Genomic DNA, 18501 nt, shown 5'->3' with positions numbered 1-18501 from the left:
TTTAAGAAATTTTAAAATGTCCTTCTTAATTTCTGCATTGACCCATTGATCATTCAGGAGCATGTTGTTTAATTTCATATTAGTATAGTTTCCAAGATTCCTGTTGTTATGGATTTCTAGTTTTATTTCTTTGTGGTTAGAAAAGATACTTGATATGATTCCAATTTTTAAAAAAAATTTTGAGACTTGTATTGTGGCTTAACATATGATCTATTTTTGAGACTGTTCCATGTCCTGAGGAGAAGAATGTGTATTCTGCAGCTGTTGAATGAAATGTTATATAAATGTTTGTTAGGAACATTTGGTCTATAGTACAGATTAAGTCCAATATTTCTTTGTTGATTTTCTGTCTAGATGATCTGTCCAATGCTGAAAGTGGGGTGTTGAAGTCCCCAACCATTATTGTATTGGGGTCTATCTCTCTCTTTAGCTCTAATAATATTTGGTTTCTATATCTGTATGCTCCAGCATCAGGTGCCTATATGTTTACAATTGTTATATCTTCTTGCTGAATTGATTCCTTTACCATTATATAATAGCTTTCTTTCACAGTTTTTCCTTAAAATCTCTTTTATCTGAGATTACCATAGTTATCGTAAAATCTGTTTTATCTGAGATAACCATAGTTACTCCTGCTATTTTCTTTTCTTTTTTTGGGGGGGGTGGGCAGGTGGGATTTCATTTGCACGGAATGTTTTTTTCCATATGTTTATTTGGAAACTTCTCTGTTACTATTTCGTTGAATAACTTTCTGCCTTTATCTCTTACATCTTACATTCTGCCTACATCCTCTTTGAGGCCAACAAATCTTGATATTTCATTTTGAGGTTATTTTGTAGATCTCGTAGATGTATTTTAATTCATTTTTCTTCTCTGACTGCATATTTTCAAATAGCCTGTCTTCAAGCTCACCAATTATTTCTTCTGCTTGATCAGTTCTGCTGTTGAGACACTCTGATGCACTTTGCAGTTGGTCAATTGAATTTTTTAGCTCCAGGATTCCTGTTTGATTTTAAAAATTATTTCAATCTCCTTGTTAAATTTCTCTGATAGAACTCTGAGCTTTTTCTCTGTTAACTTGAAGCTAATTGAGCTTCATCAAGACCTCCATTTTGAATTCACTGTCTCAGAGGTTACATATCTGTCACTCCAGGATTGATAACTGGTGCCTTGTTCAGATTGTTTGATGATGTCACATTTTCCTGGATGTTCCTGATGCTTGTGGACATTCGTCAACGTCTGAGCATTGACGAGTTAGGTGTTTATTCCAGTCTTTGCAGGCTGGCCTTGTTTGTATTCATTCTTTGTGAGAAGGCTTTCCAAGAATTCAAAGGGGATTGAGTGTTTTTACCTAAGCCTGTGATCACTTCAGCATTTCAGCCCGTTTAGCACTAGAGGACACCCTAAGCCCAGGTATGCTGCAACTCTTGCAGACTCACACAGCCTTGGTGGACTTGGGGAAGTTAGAAAATTCCCTGGGTTCCCAGGCAAAGTCCATCACTCTCTTCCCTCTCTTTGCCCCAAGAAGGAGTCTCTCTCTATGCTGGACTGCTTGGAATTTAGGGAAAGTTGACACAGGCGCTTCTGTAGCTACCATAGTTAGCACCACTCTGGGTTGTGCCTGAAGCCCACTTTCTCCTAGAACAGCACAGTACTGAGGCTCATCCAAGGCCCATACCTGCTACTGCCTGGCTGTTGCTGATGTTTATTCAAGATCCAAGGCAATTTTAGTCAGCAGGTTGTGAATCCTGTTGGACCTCAGTCCATCCCACCTGGACAGCAGATTCCCTTCTGGCCTGAGGTAAGCCTAGAAATGCTCTGGGAGCAAAGGCCTGGGGTAGGAGGCTTCAGGATTCCACCAGTGCTTTACTGTGGCTGAGCTGGTACTCAGTTACAAAACAAAGTCCTCTGTAATCTTCTCTCTCCTTCCCCTAAGCAGGAGGAGTCTCTCTCCATCCTCCACTGCCTGGAGTTAGGGGAGGGTTGAGGCAGGAACTTCCCTGGTCACTGCAGCTGGTGTTGCACAGGGTGGCGCCGCAAACCCACAGCCTCCAAGAATAGTGAAGCACCAGGGTTTGCCCAAGAACTTCAGTTCTTTTGGCATGACTGTCACTTAAATTTATTTGGAGCCCCAGGCCACTTTAGTCAGTTGGTGGTGAAGCTAGTTAGGACTCGGTTTCCTCCTTCTGGGGCAGAGGATTTCCCTCTGGCCGAGTGCTGGTCTAAATGCTTCCTCCATGGGCACTGGTGGACTTCTGCCCAGTGTTGTGTTTCTTCATGACAGTGCAACATGGAGTTTCAATGCAAATTCCTACAATCACCTTGCTGTCCTTCCCCCAAACATACAGATTCTCTCTGCACTGCACTGCCTGGGGTTGGGGCAAGGGTGGTGTAGGCAATGAAAGACTGTCCTTCCTACACTCTTCAATGTGTCGTTCCTTGTTATTATGTTAAAACCAGGTACTGTGATCGCTCATCTCTTTTTTTTTTTTTTTCGGTTCCTATTGAATGTTTCTTGTTAAACAGTCGTTCAATTTGATGTTCCTAAGGGAGGCATGATTGCTGGATGGTTCTATTCAGCCATCTTGCCCTGCCTCCTCTTCCTCCTGAATCCTTTTTTGTATTTTCTATAAACCAGGATATTTTTCTAGATAACCACAGAACAGCCAGCACAATCAGGAAACGGACATTGGTACATTGTTGCCATATAATCTGTAAGCCCCTGATCAAGTTTTGCCAACTATCCTATTAATGTTCTTTATAGAAAAAGGAGCCAGTTCAGAATCATGAGTTATTTGGTTGTCATGCTTCTTTAGTCCCTTCCAGCTTGGAACACTTCCTCAGTCTTTCCTTTATTTTAATGATCTTAACACTAGATTACACGCTAGTTATTTAGTGGAATGTCCCTGAGTTTACAGTTTAGTTGATGCATCCTTATGGTTGGATTCCAGCTGTCATTCAGGTTGGATTCATCCTTGTCAGAAATAGCACTAAAGTGTTGCTGTGTTCTTCTTGTTGCCTCCCATCAGGTGGCCCATGATTTTGTTTTGTCCTAACACTGTTTCTGCCCACTCGGATCACTTGACTAGGGTGGCTTCTGCCAAGCTTTTCCACTGTAGCTACTCTTTTCCCTTTGCACTTACTAAGAATTTTGTTGAGAGATACTTGGGAACTATGTAAATATTCCATTTCTCATCAAATGTTCAATTTATTCATTTATTTTATTTATATCAGCATGGACTTGGCATCCTATTCAATTCAGTGGGTAGTAATCCATTACTATTATTTTTCATTTTGATGCTCAGATTGTTCCTGATTTGCCCAGAGGATTGCCTCACACTGACTTCTGTGTCCTATAGATATGCTCTTGTTATGCGTTGAGTACTTCCTACTGCTGGGCACAAGATATTCCAGGTTGATCTTATAATTTTCCTGCCCTGATCCTGCAATCAGCCGTTTCTTCAAGTAGCAATGATTCCTTTTATAAGAGAATAGTATTCAGAAGCCAGGATCTGAGCTCAATATGTGCTCATTGCTATTGGAGGAGGTCTGCCCTAGGCCTTCTCAGTGGACAGAGCTAGGGAATATGTGTATGCATATACATATGCACCAATATATGTAGAAATAGAAAGACATAGATGGAAATATGCTGCATAATGTATTTAACTTATCAATTTATTATATACATCTCATGTCTATCTATCTAATGAAAACCTCAGCTTACACCAGGATCTTCAATTTACTTATTTCTTTTTTCTTTTTTATTTACTGAGATAGGGTCTCACTGTGTTGCCTAGGTTGGTCTCAAACTGCTGGGTTCAAGTCATCCTCCTGCCTTGCCCTCCCAAAGTGCTGGGATTATAGGTGTGAACAACTGTGCTCAGCCCATTCAATTTAAATTTAATACTAGGGTTCATTTTAGTTTCTCATTTTCCATATTTGTAACTCCTTTCTCTGACAGTGAGAAACCAGGCTCCTGTTATCCTTCATATATTTATTTATTTGCTCAGTCATCCTGCATGCCACCAATTTCCCATGGCCACCATCGCCCCTTCCCCTGTGTGGATGCCCTCCCTTACCACACTCAGGCTCTGCTTGCCCACCCTAGCCATGGCCCTCTCCTTACCATACGGACACCCTCCTTGCCTGCTTAGATCCTGACACCCTGCCTTCGGTGATATAGTTTGGTTGTTGTCCCCTCTAAATCTCATGATGAATTGTAATCACCAATGCTGGAAGGGGAGCCTGGTGGCAGGTGTTTGGGTCATGGGGGCCGATTTTTCATAGCTTGGTTATGTCCTTGTGATAGTATGACACCTCTCTTTGCATTACACCTGCTTGACCATGTGATGTGCCTGCTCCTGCTTCACCTCCTGCTATGCTCCCTGGGGCCTCCCCAGAAGCTGAGCAGAGGCTAGCACATGCTTGTAAAGTCTGCAGAACTGTGAGTCAATTAAACCTCTTTTCTTAATAAATTACCCAGCCTTAGGTATTTCTTTATAGTAATGCAAGAATGGACTAATATACTGGGCAACAATGATTCCTACTCTCACATTATCCTCCCTGGCATGGGTATCTACTTAGCAGTGCCCCACCTAATGGATTTCGGGAAATATTATGTTGCTCAGGAAGGGAAAGAAAGAGACTAGAAGGAGCTCATTTATTGATATTTTGCAAGATAAAGGAGAGGAGAGCTCTTCTACCATAGCACTTGTGAATGTCTACAGTGGTGACTATTTTGAGTGGCTTAGAGTTAAAGGGAATAAATCTGAAACTAATATCCTGAAAGTTTTGCACCAAAAGGTGTTCTGAAGTAGAGAATCTTTGTTCAAAGACAGTCTCAACAAGCTGCAATGACCTGACTGTGAAATGACAGAAGCGATTCTGCAGAAAGGATACCTAAAACTCAGATGATCATGGTGGACAGGAAGCAGGACTAGATTGTAGCTCCAGACAGAGCAGCATGCGGAGGCTCGCATTGTGAATTTTAGCTCCAGATCAACTGCAAGAGCAAATCATCAATCCCAAGAGGACTCACAGACCCTCCAAAGGAAGCAGACTGCTCCTGCAGGATCTGGGAGAACCCCCAAATACTGTGAGTGCCCCAAATGTGGAAGTGGGAAAGGGAGACTCTTCTCTCCCAAACACACACCCCCACTGGAGAAACTGAAGGTCTCTTTGGGAGAGAAGTTTCCGACTTTGCCTGGAGCTGAGTCAATTTGGGAAGCCAAGCAAAATACAGGGGTAGAGGAAGCAGCAGAAAGGCCCTGGGAGCTTGCTGGGTCCCCTAGTAGGCCATTCCTCTCTGGAACCACAGGGATCCAATGGGAGGGAGGCCAGAGAGCCAGGTTAAACTCCACAGGGAGGGCCAGGTGCGGTGGCTCACACCTGTAATCCCAGCACTTTGGGAGGCCGAGGCGGGCGGATCATGAGGTCAGGAGATCGGGACCATCCTGGCTAACACGATGAAACCCCATCTCTACTAAAAAATACAAAAAAAAAATAGCCGGGCGTGGTGGCTGGTGCCTGTAATCCCAGCTACTGAGGAGGCTGAGGCAGGAGAATGGCATGAACCCGGGAGGTGGAGCTTGCAGTGAGCCAAGATTGCGCCACTGCACTCCAGCCTGGGCGACAGAGCAAGACTCCATCAAAAAAACAAAAAACAAAAAACAAAAACAAAAACAGCAACAAAAAAAACTCCACAGGGAGAATAGAAGGAAATCTCTAGCTGAACTTTGTAAACATTTGAATGGGGTGAGAAGCCTCCTGGCCAGAACTTGTGGGAGGGTACAAATCTGGTGTGCAGTCTCCACAGGCAGGGGAAGACACAAACCCTTTTCTTTCACAGCTACGAGGCACGTAGCCTGGTTTTCAAGCTCGTCTTGCCCTCTGCCTGGAAACGGACCCGGGGCTCTTGGTGGGGGCACAGAGGGAATGGACCGACCCTTTGGTTTGCATGGGAGCTGGGTGAGGCCTTTGATTGCCAGCTTTCCCCCACTTCCTTGACAACCTGCATGAATCAGCAGAGGCAACCATAGTCCTCCTAGGTACACAACTCCAGTGAACTGGGAATCTCACCCCCAACCCCCACAGCAGCTGCAGCAAGACCCACCCAAGGACAGTCTGAACTCAGACATGCCTTGCTCTGCCCCCACCTGATGGTCCTTCCCTACCCACCTTGTAGAGGAAGACAAAGAGCATATAGTCTTGGGAGTTCTAGGGCCCCACCCACCACTGGTTCCTCCCCATACTAATACAGGTGATGCTCTCTGGAAAGCGCCACCTCTTAACAGGAGGACAACCAGCACAAAAATAGAGCATTAAACCACCAAAGCTAACAACCCTCACGGAGTCCATTGCACCACCCCCACGCTCCCACCACCTACACTGGAACAGGCGCTGGTATCCAAGGCTGAGAGACCCATAGACAGTTCACATCACAGGACTCTGTAAAGACAACCCCCAGTACTAACCCAGAGCCAGGTAGACTCGCTGGGTGGCTAGACCCAGAAAAGAGACAACAATCATTGCAGTTTGGCTCACAAGAAGCCACATCCGTAGGAAAAGGGGGATCGTACTACATCAAGGGAACAGCCTGTGAGACAGAAGAATCTGAACAACAGCCTTCAGCCCTAGACCTTCCCTCTGACAGAGACTACCCAAATGAGAAGGAACCAGAAAATCAACCCTGGTAATATGACAAAACAAGGTTCTTCAACACACCAAAAAAATCACACTAGTTCACCAGCAATGGATCCAAACCAAGAAGAAATCCCTGATTTACCTGAAAAAGAATTCAGGAGGTTAGTTATTAAGCTAATCAGGGAGGGACCAGAGAAAGGTAAAGCCCAATGCAAGGAAATCCAAAAAATGATACAAGAAGTGAAGGAAGAAATATTCAAGGAAATAGATAGCTTAAAGAAAAAACAAAAAGTTCAGGAAACGTTGGACACACTTTTAGAAATGCAAAATGCTCTGGAAAGTCTCAGCAATAGAACTGAACAAGTAGAAGAAAGAAATTCAGAGCTCAAAGACAAGGTCTTCAGATTAATCCAATCCAACAAAGACAAAGAAAAAACAATAAGAAAATATGAACAGCTGGGCATGGTGGCTCATGCCTGTAATCCAAGCACTTTGGGAGGTCGAGGTAGGTGGATCACCTGAGGTCAGGAGTTTGCGACCAGACTGGCCAACATGGTGAAACCCCATCTCCACTAAACATACAAAAACTAGCTGGGTATGGTGTTGGGCACCTGTAATACTAGCTACTTGGGAGGCCGAAGCACGAGAATCGCTTGAACCCAGGAGGTGGAGGTTGCAGTGAGCCAAGATCGCACCACTGCACTGCAGCCTAGGAGACAGAGTGAGACTTTGTCTCAAAAAAAAAAAAAAAAAAAAAAAAAAGAAAAGAAAATATGAACAAATCCTTCAAGAAGTCTAGGATTATGTTAAATGGCCAAACCTAAGAATAATCGGTGTTCCTAAGGCAGAAGATAATTCTAAAAGCTTGGAAAACATATTCGGGGGAATAATTGAGGAAAACTTCCTTGGCCTCATAGAGTCCTAGACATCCAAATACAAGATGCACAAAGAACACCTGGGAAATTCATCACAAAAAGATCTTTGCCTAGGCACATTGTCATCAGGTTATCCAAAGTTAAGACGAAGGAAAGAATCTTAAGAGCTGTGAGACAGAAGCACCAGGTAACCAATAAGGGAAAACCTATCAGATCAACAGCAGATTTCTTAGCAGAAATCCTGCAAGCTAGAAGGGATTGGGGCCCTGTCTTCAGCCTCCTCAAACAAAACAATCATCAGCCAAGAATTTGATATTCAGTTAAACTAAGCATCATATATAAAGGAAAAATACAGTTTTTTTCAGACAAACAAATGCTGGGAGAATTTGCCATTACAAAGCCACCACTACAAGAACTGCTAAAAGGAGTTCTAAATCTTGAAACAACTCTTGGAAACACATCAAAACAGTACCTCTTTAAAGCATAAACCACATAGGACCTATACAACAAAAATACAAGTTAAAGATCAAAAACAAAAAACCCAAAAAACCAGGCCGGGCATGGTGGCTCATGCCTGTTGTAATCCCAGCGCTTTGGGAGGCCAAGGCGGGCAGATCACTTGAGGTCAGGAGTTCAAAACCAGCCTGGTCAACATGGTGAAACTCCGTCTCTACTAAAAATACAAAAAAATTAGCTGGCTGTGGTGGCAGGTGCCTGTAATCCCAGCTACTTGGGAGGCTGAGGCAGGAGAATTGCTTGAACCCAGGAGGTGGAGACTGCAGCAAGCTGAGGTTGTGCCACTGCACTCCAGCCTGGGTGACAAAGTGAGACTCTGTCTCAAAAACAAACAAACAAACAAACAAAAAACAAACTACACAGGCAACAAAGAGCATGATGAATGCAACGGTACCTCACAATTCAATACTGACATTGAATGTAAATGGCCTCAATGCTCCAGTTAAAAGATACAGAACTGCAGAATGGGTAAGAACTCATCAACCAACCATCTGCTGCCTTCAGGAGACTCACCTAACACATAAGAACTCACCTAAACTTAAAGTAAAAGGGTGGAAAAGCATTTCATGCAAATAGACACCAAAAGGGAGCAGGGGTAGCTATTCTTATATCAGACAAAACAAACTTTAAAGCATCAGCAGTTAAAAAAGACAGAGGGACATTATATAATGGTAAAGGGACTAGTCCAACAGGAAAATATCACAACCCCAAACATATATGCACCTAACACTGGAGCTCCCAAATTTATAAAACAATTACTAATAGACCTAAGAAATGAGACAGACAGCAACACAATAATATTGGGGGACTTTAATACTCCACTGACAACACTAGGCAGGATATAAAGACAGAAAGTCAACAAAGAAACAATGGGTTCAAACTATACCTTGGAGCAAATAGACTTAACAGATATATACAGAACATTTCATCCAACAACTGCAGAATACACATTCTATTCAACAGTGCATGGAACTTTCTCCAAGATAGACCATATGATAGGCCATAAAATGAGCCTCAATAAATTTAAGAAAATTGAAATTATATCAAGCATGCTCTCAGATCACAGTGGAATAAAACTGGAAATCAACTCCAAAAGGAACCTTCAAAACCATGCAAATACATGGAAATTAAGTAACCTGATCCTGAATGAGCATTGGGTCAAAAACAAAATCAAGATGGAAATTAAAAAATTCTTCAAACTGTGTGACAATAGTGACACAACCTATCAAAACCTCTGGGATACAGCAAAGGCAGTGCTAAGAGGAAAGTTCACAGCCCTAAATGCTTATAACAAAAAGACTGAAAGAGCACAAACTGACATTCTAAGGTCACACCTCAAGAAACTAGAGAAACTAGAGAAACAAGGACAAACCAAACCCAAATCCAGCAGAAGAAGGGAAATAAACAAGATCAGAGCAGCACTAAATGAAATTGAAACAAAACAAAAAAAATACAAATCATAAATGAAACAAAAAGCCGGTTCTTTGAAAAGATAAATAAAATTGATAGACCATTAGCAAGATTAACCAAGAAAAGAAGAGAGAAAATCCAAAAACCTCACTAAGAAACGAGACAGAGGATATTACAACTGATACCACTGAAATACAAAAGATCATTCAAGGCTACTATGAACACCATTATGCACATAAACTAGAAAACCTAGAAGGGATGGATAAATTCCTGTAAAAATACAACCCTCCTAGCTTAAATCAGGAAGAATTAGATACCCTGAACAGACCAATAAAATTACTGACAAAAAAAGTCCAGGACCAGATTCACAGCAGAATTCTACCAGACATTCAAAGAATTGGTACCCATCCTTTTGAAACTATTCCACAAGATAGAGAAAGAAGGAACCCTCCCTAATTCATTCTATGAAGCCAGCATCACCCTAATACCAAAACCAGGAAAGGACATAACCAAAAAAGAAAACTACAGACTGATATCCTTGATGAACACAGATGCTAAAATCCTTGACAACATACTAGCTAGCCAAATCCAACAACATATGAAAAAGATAATCCACCATGATCAAGTGGGTTTCATACAAGAGATGCGGGGATGGTTTAATATACACAAGTCAGTAAATGTGATACATCACACAAACAGAATTAAAACAAAAACCACACGATCATCTCCATAGATGCAGAAAAAGCATTAGGCAAAATCCAGCATCCCTTTACGATTAAAACTCTCTGCAAAATTGGCATACAAGGGACATATCTTAAGGTAATAAAAGACATCTATGACAAACTCACAGCCAACATAATACTGAATGAATAAAAGTTGAAAGCATTCCCTCTGAGAACTGGAACAAGACAAGGATGCCCACTCTTACCACTCCTCTTCAACTTAGTACTGGAAGTCTTAGCCAGAGCAGTCAGACAAGAGAAAGAAACAAAGGGCATCCAAATCCGTAAAGAGGAAGTTAAACTGTCACTGTTTGCTGACGACGTGATCATTTACCTTGGAAACCCTAAGGACTCCTCCAGAAAGCTCCTAGAATTGATAAAATAATTCAGCAAAGTTTCCAGATACAAGATGTACGCAAATCAGTAGCTCCTCTGTACACCAACAGCGACAAAGCAAAGAATCAAACCCTTTTACAATAGCTGCAAAAAAATAAATAAAATACTTAGGAATATACCTAACCAAGGAGTTGAAATACCTCTATGAGGAAAACTGTGAAACACTGCTGAAAGAAATCATAGATGACACGAACAAATGGAAACACATCCCATGCTCATGGATGGGTAGAATCAATATTGTGAAAATGACCATACTGCCAAAAGCAGTCTACAAATTCAACACAATCCCCATCCAAATACCACCATAATTCTTCACAGAATTAGAAAAAAACATTCTGAAATTCATACGGAACCAAAAAAGAGCCTGCATAGCCAAAGCAATACTAACCAAAAAGAACAAATCTGGAGGCATCACACTACCTGATTTCAAATTATACTATTAGGCCATAGTCACCAAAACAGCATGGTACTGGTATAAAAATAGGCACATAGATCAATGGAACATAATAGAGAACCCAGAAATAAACCGAAATGCTTATAGCCAACTGATCCTTGACAAAGCAAACAAAAACGTAAAGTGGAGAAAGGACACCCTTTTCAACAAATAGTGCTAGGATAATTGGCTAGCCACATGTAGGAGAATGAAACTGGATCCTCATCTCTTACATTATACAAAAATCAACTGAAGACGGATTAAGGACTTAAACCTAAAATCTGAAACTATAAAAATTCTAGAAGATAGCATTGGAAAAACCTTTCTAGACATTGGCTTAGGCAAGGATTTCATGACCAAGAACACAAAAGCAAGTACAATAAAAACAAAGATAAAAAGCTGGGACCTAATTAATTAATTAATTAATTAATTGCTTTTGCATAGCAAAAGGAACAGTCAGCAGAGTAAATAGACAACCCACAGAGTGGGAGAAAATCTTCATCTATACATCTGACAAAGGATTAATATCCAGAATCTACAATGAACTCAAACAAACAGTAAGAAATAAACAAACAACCCCATCGAAAAGTGGACTAAGGACATGAATAGACTATTCTGAAAAGAAGATACACAAATGGCCAACAAACATAAAAAATGCTCAACATCACTAATGATCAGGGAATGCAAATCAAAACCACAATGTGATACTATCTTACTCCTGCAAGAATGGCCGTAATAATAATAATAAAAAAAAACAATAGATGTTGGCATGGATGTAGTGAACAGGGAACACTTCTACACTGCTGGTGGAAATGTAAACTAGTACAGTCACTAGGGAAAACAGTGTGGAGATTCCTTAAAGAACTAAAAGTAGGTCTACCATTTGATCCAGCAATCCCACTACTGGGTATCTACCCAGAGGAAAAGAAGTCATTATTAGAAAAAGATACTGGCACATGCATGTTTATAGCGGCACATTCACAACTGCAAAATTGTGGAACCAACCCAAATGTCCATCAATCAACGAGTGATAAAGAAACTGTGAGATATATATATATATATATATATATATATATATGATGGAATACTATGTAGCCATAAAAAGGAATGAATTAACAGCATTTGCACTGACCTGGATGAGATTGGAGACTATTATTCTAAGTGAAGTAACTCAGGAATGGAAAACCAAACATCGGATGATCTCATTGTTATGTGGGAGCTAAGCTATGAGGACGCAAAGGCATAAGAATGACACAATGGACTTTGGGGACGTGGGGGAAAGAGTGGGACGGGGGTAGGGGATAAAAGACCACAAATATGGTGCAGTGTATACTGCTCAGGTGATGGGTACACCAAAATCTCACAAATCACCACTAAAGAAGTTACTCATGTAACCAAATACCACCTGTACCCCAATAACTGATGGAAAAAAAATGACAGAAGCAATCTGTGAATAAGAACCCTGTGAAAATCTCTCTTTGTGATTTGTTCCTCATCCTTCAGACTCACAGTGGGGATAGTGGGGAGTTCGGACAGTGGGGAGTATGGGAATCAGCTCGGGGTTCTAATCTTGGCTGCATAACCCATTCATGGAGGGCCATGGGACAAATCATTCACCTGCTGAGTGTCAGCCCTCTTTCGAGTCAACCCTGGTAATCCCTGGCTCTTCTTAGAGTTGGATAGCTCATTCCCACAGCACTCTGTACATTCTTCACATAGTTCATCTTGCTTTCCTTCAGGGCAAAGATCAGGCCTCACTCATGGTCTCCAATGTGCCAGTCCAGGTCTGGCAAATATGGGCATCGAATAGGCCTTTGTGGGTGAACGAATGCATGACTGAGTGGGTTTCTGCTTGTCAAGTCTTCCTCTTTGGAAGCATACCCCCTTAGCACACATTAGAGCTCACTCTCAGATTGCATTGCCAAGAAGTCATGCTTATTAGGACAGCTGGTGCACTGGAAGGGCTTACATCCACCCCCCCTCATAAAAATCCCCGATTCCCAGATAAGGAGAGGAAGTGGCTGCCGCAGGAATTTGATCTGAGATAACCCGTTCCACCACGCTTGGTGGACTGTGGTGTGCATCTGCAATGCGCGGCCACTTGTCGCACGAGGCAGCGGCCGCCACAGGCTCTAAAGGAATGTGTGTCCAATATTGGGTGCTGAAAGGCTGGAAGGAGAAGCAGATCTCAGGACGTGTCAGGGTGGCTGATTTGCTGTGATCGAAAGGGTGTGATCCTTCCCTGGGTAGCAAGTGGGGGACAGGGTCGTGGGGAAGAATGTGGAGGGGATTAGAAGGGCTTGCTTCCATTTTCTAACATTTCATATCTATTTCCCTTTAATCTTTTGACCTGGCCTTTTCTAAAACTGGGTTTTAATAAGCTAAAAGGGGACAACGCCTCTTGTATTCATTTATGGAGTTTATAAAGAGCCCATCCCCTTGGAAATGAGGGAACATGTAAGACAGCAGTCACAGGAGCCCAGATTCTTCAGCTTCACAGTGGTGGTGACAGGGGCAGCAAATTGGCAGAAGAGCCAACTGGTTGACTCCTATTCTGGAAGGAGGAAGGGATAATTTACACTTACCAAAAATACCCTGACAGGCATCCCATCCATTTAATTGGATAATTTATTATTGGAAAGATCTCCAGATTTATGACCAAAGATCTGGGTGTCTATCCCAGCTTTGCCACTTACTGGTTCTCTCTAGGGAAAAGAAGTCTCACCGTGAGACTTAGTGTCTCCATCTGTACAGTTAATATCCTACTATCGTGCAACTCCAATATGAAATGGCTTGTAAAAGGCAAAGAGCTACAAATATGCAAAAATAGTTATTATTATGGACTTCCTGTCTTTTAAAACACACATGTTCCTTGGAGGATTAAACCTACTCTCATTCACTCCTTAGTGTTAATTGATTTCTTAAAACTCCTAATTATAACTAGTGGAAAAATGAGAATTTTTTTCCGCTGAGCTCACACCACAAGCTGGTTGGGAAGGGGTTTTGGAGTGGGGCAGATGCAAGGAAGGTGTTACAGAGAGATTTGCTGTTGGATGCTAGTGTGGTATGGTGGAAATGCTGTGGACTCACCGAGAGTTGGGTTCAAATCTTAGTTCTGTTAGATTCTGACTATGTCGCCTGGGAAAAGTTATTAAACATCTTCAGGCCTAAGGTTTTTCATTGACAACAAAAGGATGCAGGGCTTCAATAAATGATCTGTCAGCACTAATATTCTTGGATTCTGTGCTTAGGTTATGACAGTAAAATACACCTTAGAAAATTCACTGTCTAGTTTATGATACAGTATTATCTGGAATTATTACCTAAAAAGAGTTAGGAATATTGCCCATGAAGTGATAATTCAGGCCTGAACTAAGGATAGATAATTTCTGTCATTTGTAGAATCCCCAGCACAAAGTGCAGAACCTGGGACACAGTAGGTGTTTATGTGTCAAACAGACTATTTACACAGTGCAAACCTTTATTTTAATGGAAGGAGAAGGTCAACTCTTGCGCCACTGACAGTGTTTTTAGTTAATTCAGTCCGTTTTTCAGGGATTCTCCCTGCTAATTTTTCTTCTTGTAGATACAAAGGAGTATTTTAATAATAAAAAGAAGCAATTTGAATATTTAACAATAAGAGATTCACTAAGCAAGTCTAGGGATATGCAAATAACTGGAATGTTATACAACAGTTTAATAAAGATTACATAAATGTACATTGGCATAAAAAGATATTTGGGTTATATCGGTAAGTTTAAAAAGTAGTTGACTAAACAGCTCCCAAAGCACAGGAAAAAGTCTGGAATATTACACATCGAAGTGCTTAAAGAAGTTATATATATTCATGGAAGGATTAAAGGTTTTCAAAATGAATTTTTTCTTCTGTTATTTTTAAAATCTTAATTGAGAAATAATTTGCACACCCTACAACACACCATTAAAATGTATAATTTGATGACTTTTAGTATATTTCCAGGGTTGTGCAACCATCATCATAGTCAATTTTAGAACATTTTCATTACTACAAAAAGAAACCTCATACCACTTAGCAATCAACCCCTGTCCCACCTCCCCCTCCAGCATCCCGCTGGCAACCTCCAATCTACTTTTGGTCTCTATAGATTTGCAAACGTTCTCCTAATTTATGTTTTACATTCAAATTTACAGCAATCAAGTTTGGTTTTCAGTAGACTTTGCCAGAGAGCCCATCCAATGATCATGCACCAAAACGACTATCACGTCACTATCTTTTCTGGACCAAAACCAGGGAGCAGAGTCACATCTACAATTAAGGGTGGTTTTCAGACCTGGTAGTAATGCTGCTTAGTGTATGGGTTGAAGTATGGGGATCCCAAGCTTCCTTTCACTTCTGATGGTGCTCTCATCCCTAACTGGAAAGAGAGCTTTGTACCTTCTAGCTCCTTTTATTTCTAATCTGAGATATCTTTTCATCTTTTGAAGAGAGGCAGAGATATAAATGAAACCCTCACCCTTAACCATTGTCATGTTATGATTTTCACAGCCTTGTTTTTCATCAAGAATCACTGATTTGAAGTCAGATGGTTTGTATATGACAGATCTAGTTCCCAAACTCAACCAGGCCAGCTCATAAATATTTACTATTCATGTTTTTAAAGTGATTGTGTCAACTTGCTCTTAGGTATCAGAAATGAAATTTTATGGCCAATGAAAATCAAGTGATTAAAAATAGTTGCCTATTTCCTAAAGTCCAAATATCTCAAACATATGAATTCATTATTCTAATATTCATTTACCATCTTCTATGTAGAGAGCCTCAAGTTTAGTGCTCAATTACACAAAGTATAATCCTGGCTTTCATAAACTTATAATGTGGAGGCTTGGTTCCAGTCTTTGGACACCATGGTTCTTTTCTCATTTACACTATAAAGAAGATTTATGATGACAACCAACATAAACCCATCTAGAAAACAAAGCATATATTAAGTTGATCCATGTGAAGTTATCAATATTCTACCATTTTTGACATCCAAAAGTTTCAGTCCAATAAAAAAACTTGCACTAAATAATGATAGCAATTGCTTACAATTTATCAGCAATTGGACCTAAAATATGTTATAATCACTATTTGATTTGGTCTCACAACAATCCCATGAGGTAGGAAATATTCTGATCTCCATTTTTTGGAAAACAGAGTCTCAGAAAGATTCAGTCATCTGTTTGAGTTGATATTGTCAATAAGTGGTCTTATTGTGTGATACATCAAAAGGTTTGTGTGATGCAAAAATACTGTGCTCTTAAATATTGTATTAAATAAAACATTAAAGGAGTTGGAGAGAAAATAAGGGCTACAAAGAAGTCCTTATTCAAGTTTCTAGCACAGAGTGTATGCTTAATAAGTGTTAGCAGAATACATGAGCAAGAAAGCAGAGAAAGGAATGGTTAATGCTAATAAAAGCCCAAGGAAATCCTTTCCATATCTTTTCTTGTATTCCAAAGGGTACAGAACAATCTTCCTCAAGCAGTAACATCTCCCAGCAGGCCCCATCTCCACCCCTTTTGTCAGTTATCTCTGATTCCTGTCAAGAATCTTCAACCTGTTGGACAAGAATCTCATTTCCACATTAAGCTCCTGTCTTTCCAATGGTGGCCCAAACAAGTCCTAGATTTCCAATCATAAACCAATTAGGAGATAAGATATAAACTCATGAAAATTGAATAGCAATATGAAACATCAGGAGAAGACATGTATATGAAATATGAGTGGGTCCTGCCCTAATACACTCCCGTCAGAATGCTATTGTGTCGGTGATTCAGGCTGTCTTTGGGCAGAGGCAATCTGCCTGGTAGGATGCCTCTGAATTTACTAACAATCACCAACTGGGAAAATGCCAACGTGTGAACCACTTGATTCCATCTTGTGATGAATACTCCTCCCCAAAGTTCTGTCATTGTAATCTGCCACCCTGCAAATTTTGCTTGCAAAATGTGTGCTGGCAGCGGCTTCTGCAGCTATTTCAGTATCCTGACATCTGTCGATGCTCTTTGGGCAATGGAATGATACAAGTCGTTCTCATAAGTCATTGGTATCAAAGAGCAATGCTAAGTTTTTACAAAACATTTTGGGAAGAGCATCATGAAGATGCCCATAAATGCTATCGGGCACTGCCTGCAGCATGAGCAGACCATTCGGTGAGAGGCGAGATATAGAGGAGCGTGACAGGGGATGAGCATGTGCAGCATGACTAAAATTAGTTTCCAATCTGAGATCTTCATTTCTGCCATCTCTGGAACAGCCATCATCATCCACATTTTTCCCCATACATGGCCCATTCCAAAATAATCCTCATTCAGAGGTCTAAATGTCAACTGCTCTGAAAAAAGGTTCTGAAATGATGATGATGAATAAATGTGTAACATTTCAAGCAGATACTCTGTGGAATCTTATCACCACTGCCAGAAAGCAGCTAGCAAGGGAACCATGGCCATATACTGAAGCAAGGCCTGGTTTCTGGCCTTGTAAAGCGATGTCTCGAATATGTATCTGCAGGTTGATACCTCATCTCATTGACAGCTTTCCATCCTGACCTGAAGTTCTCCAGCTTTCCCAGTGTTGCATGTAGGCAGCCCCATTCCCTGGGACGGTCAGAGACTGGACTGTTTAACCCAAGGGGAAATACTCTGTCCTGGAGTCACAGAGCACAAAGCTCTTCATCTGTTATACAGACCCAAGGATTTCCCCCAAAGTTCTACCACAGAAAGGCAAGGATTTCCCCCAAAATTCTACTGCAGACAAGAGAAGTCATTTTATATTTAAGGTCTTACAAAGTCTTATGTTACAATTACAAGAGGATAAAGTCTAGAAGCTAAACTAAATGACTGAAAAAATGGCTCAAATGATGACACTCTTGAGATTCACTTGGAGAGTTTAAAGGCAATTTTAAAAGAAAATGTGAAAGTGGAAAAATTCTAGTTTTTTATTTTATTTTATATAACATTAAAAATATATATGTAGTAAAATTATTAAATAAAATAGGTAAACGTTTGACTCTTCCATCTACATCCTTAAAAGGCATATATACAAAATTCCCCCAAAATCTATCTCTTTTTGAATTTTTTATTTGGGAAATGAGGGAATCATCTTATTTGGCGGTATATATGGAACTTAAGAAATATTTGTGGAGTAGTATAGGGAAGAGTCAGGTGTCATTAATATGAGAGAGATTGGGTGTTTGGGTGTCTCATTTTGCCTATTGATTTTAATTTTAAAAATACTGTCAGCAAAAATTCTATAGAATATTAAAATCTGCATTGTCTCTGAAATTACTAAAACCATTAACAAACCTACTAAGTTTAATGTACTGATGCTACCCAGCATGTTTTCCACTTGAAAATAATCCCTTGCCTATTTCCTCATTCGCTTTACCTTAGACCTAGTTTAATTGTGAGACCTCAGCCCCAATTCTCATGACAACTGGAAGGGGTATTTGACAAGGTTGTTATCTGGGAAGAATCATTTCACCAT

Source organism: Homo sapiens, chromosome 2, assembly GCF_000001405.40.
Source record: "Homo sapiens chromosome 2, GRCh38.p14 Primary Assembly".
NCBI lineage: Eukaryota > Metazoa > Chordata > Mammalia > Primates > Hominidae > Homo > Homo sapiens.
The sequence above is the reverse complement of the archived record's forward strand: the minus strand, read 5'-3'. Positions refer to the sequence as shown.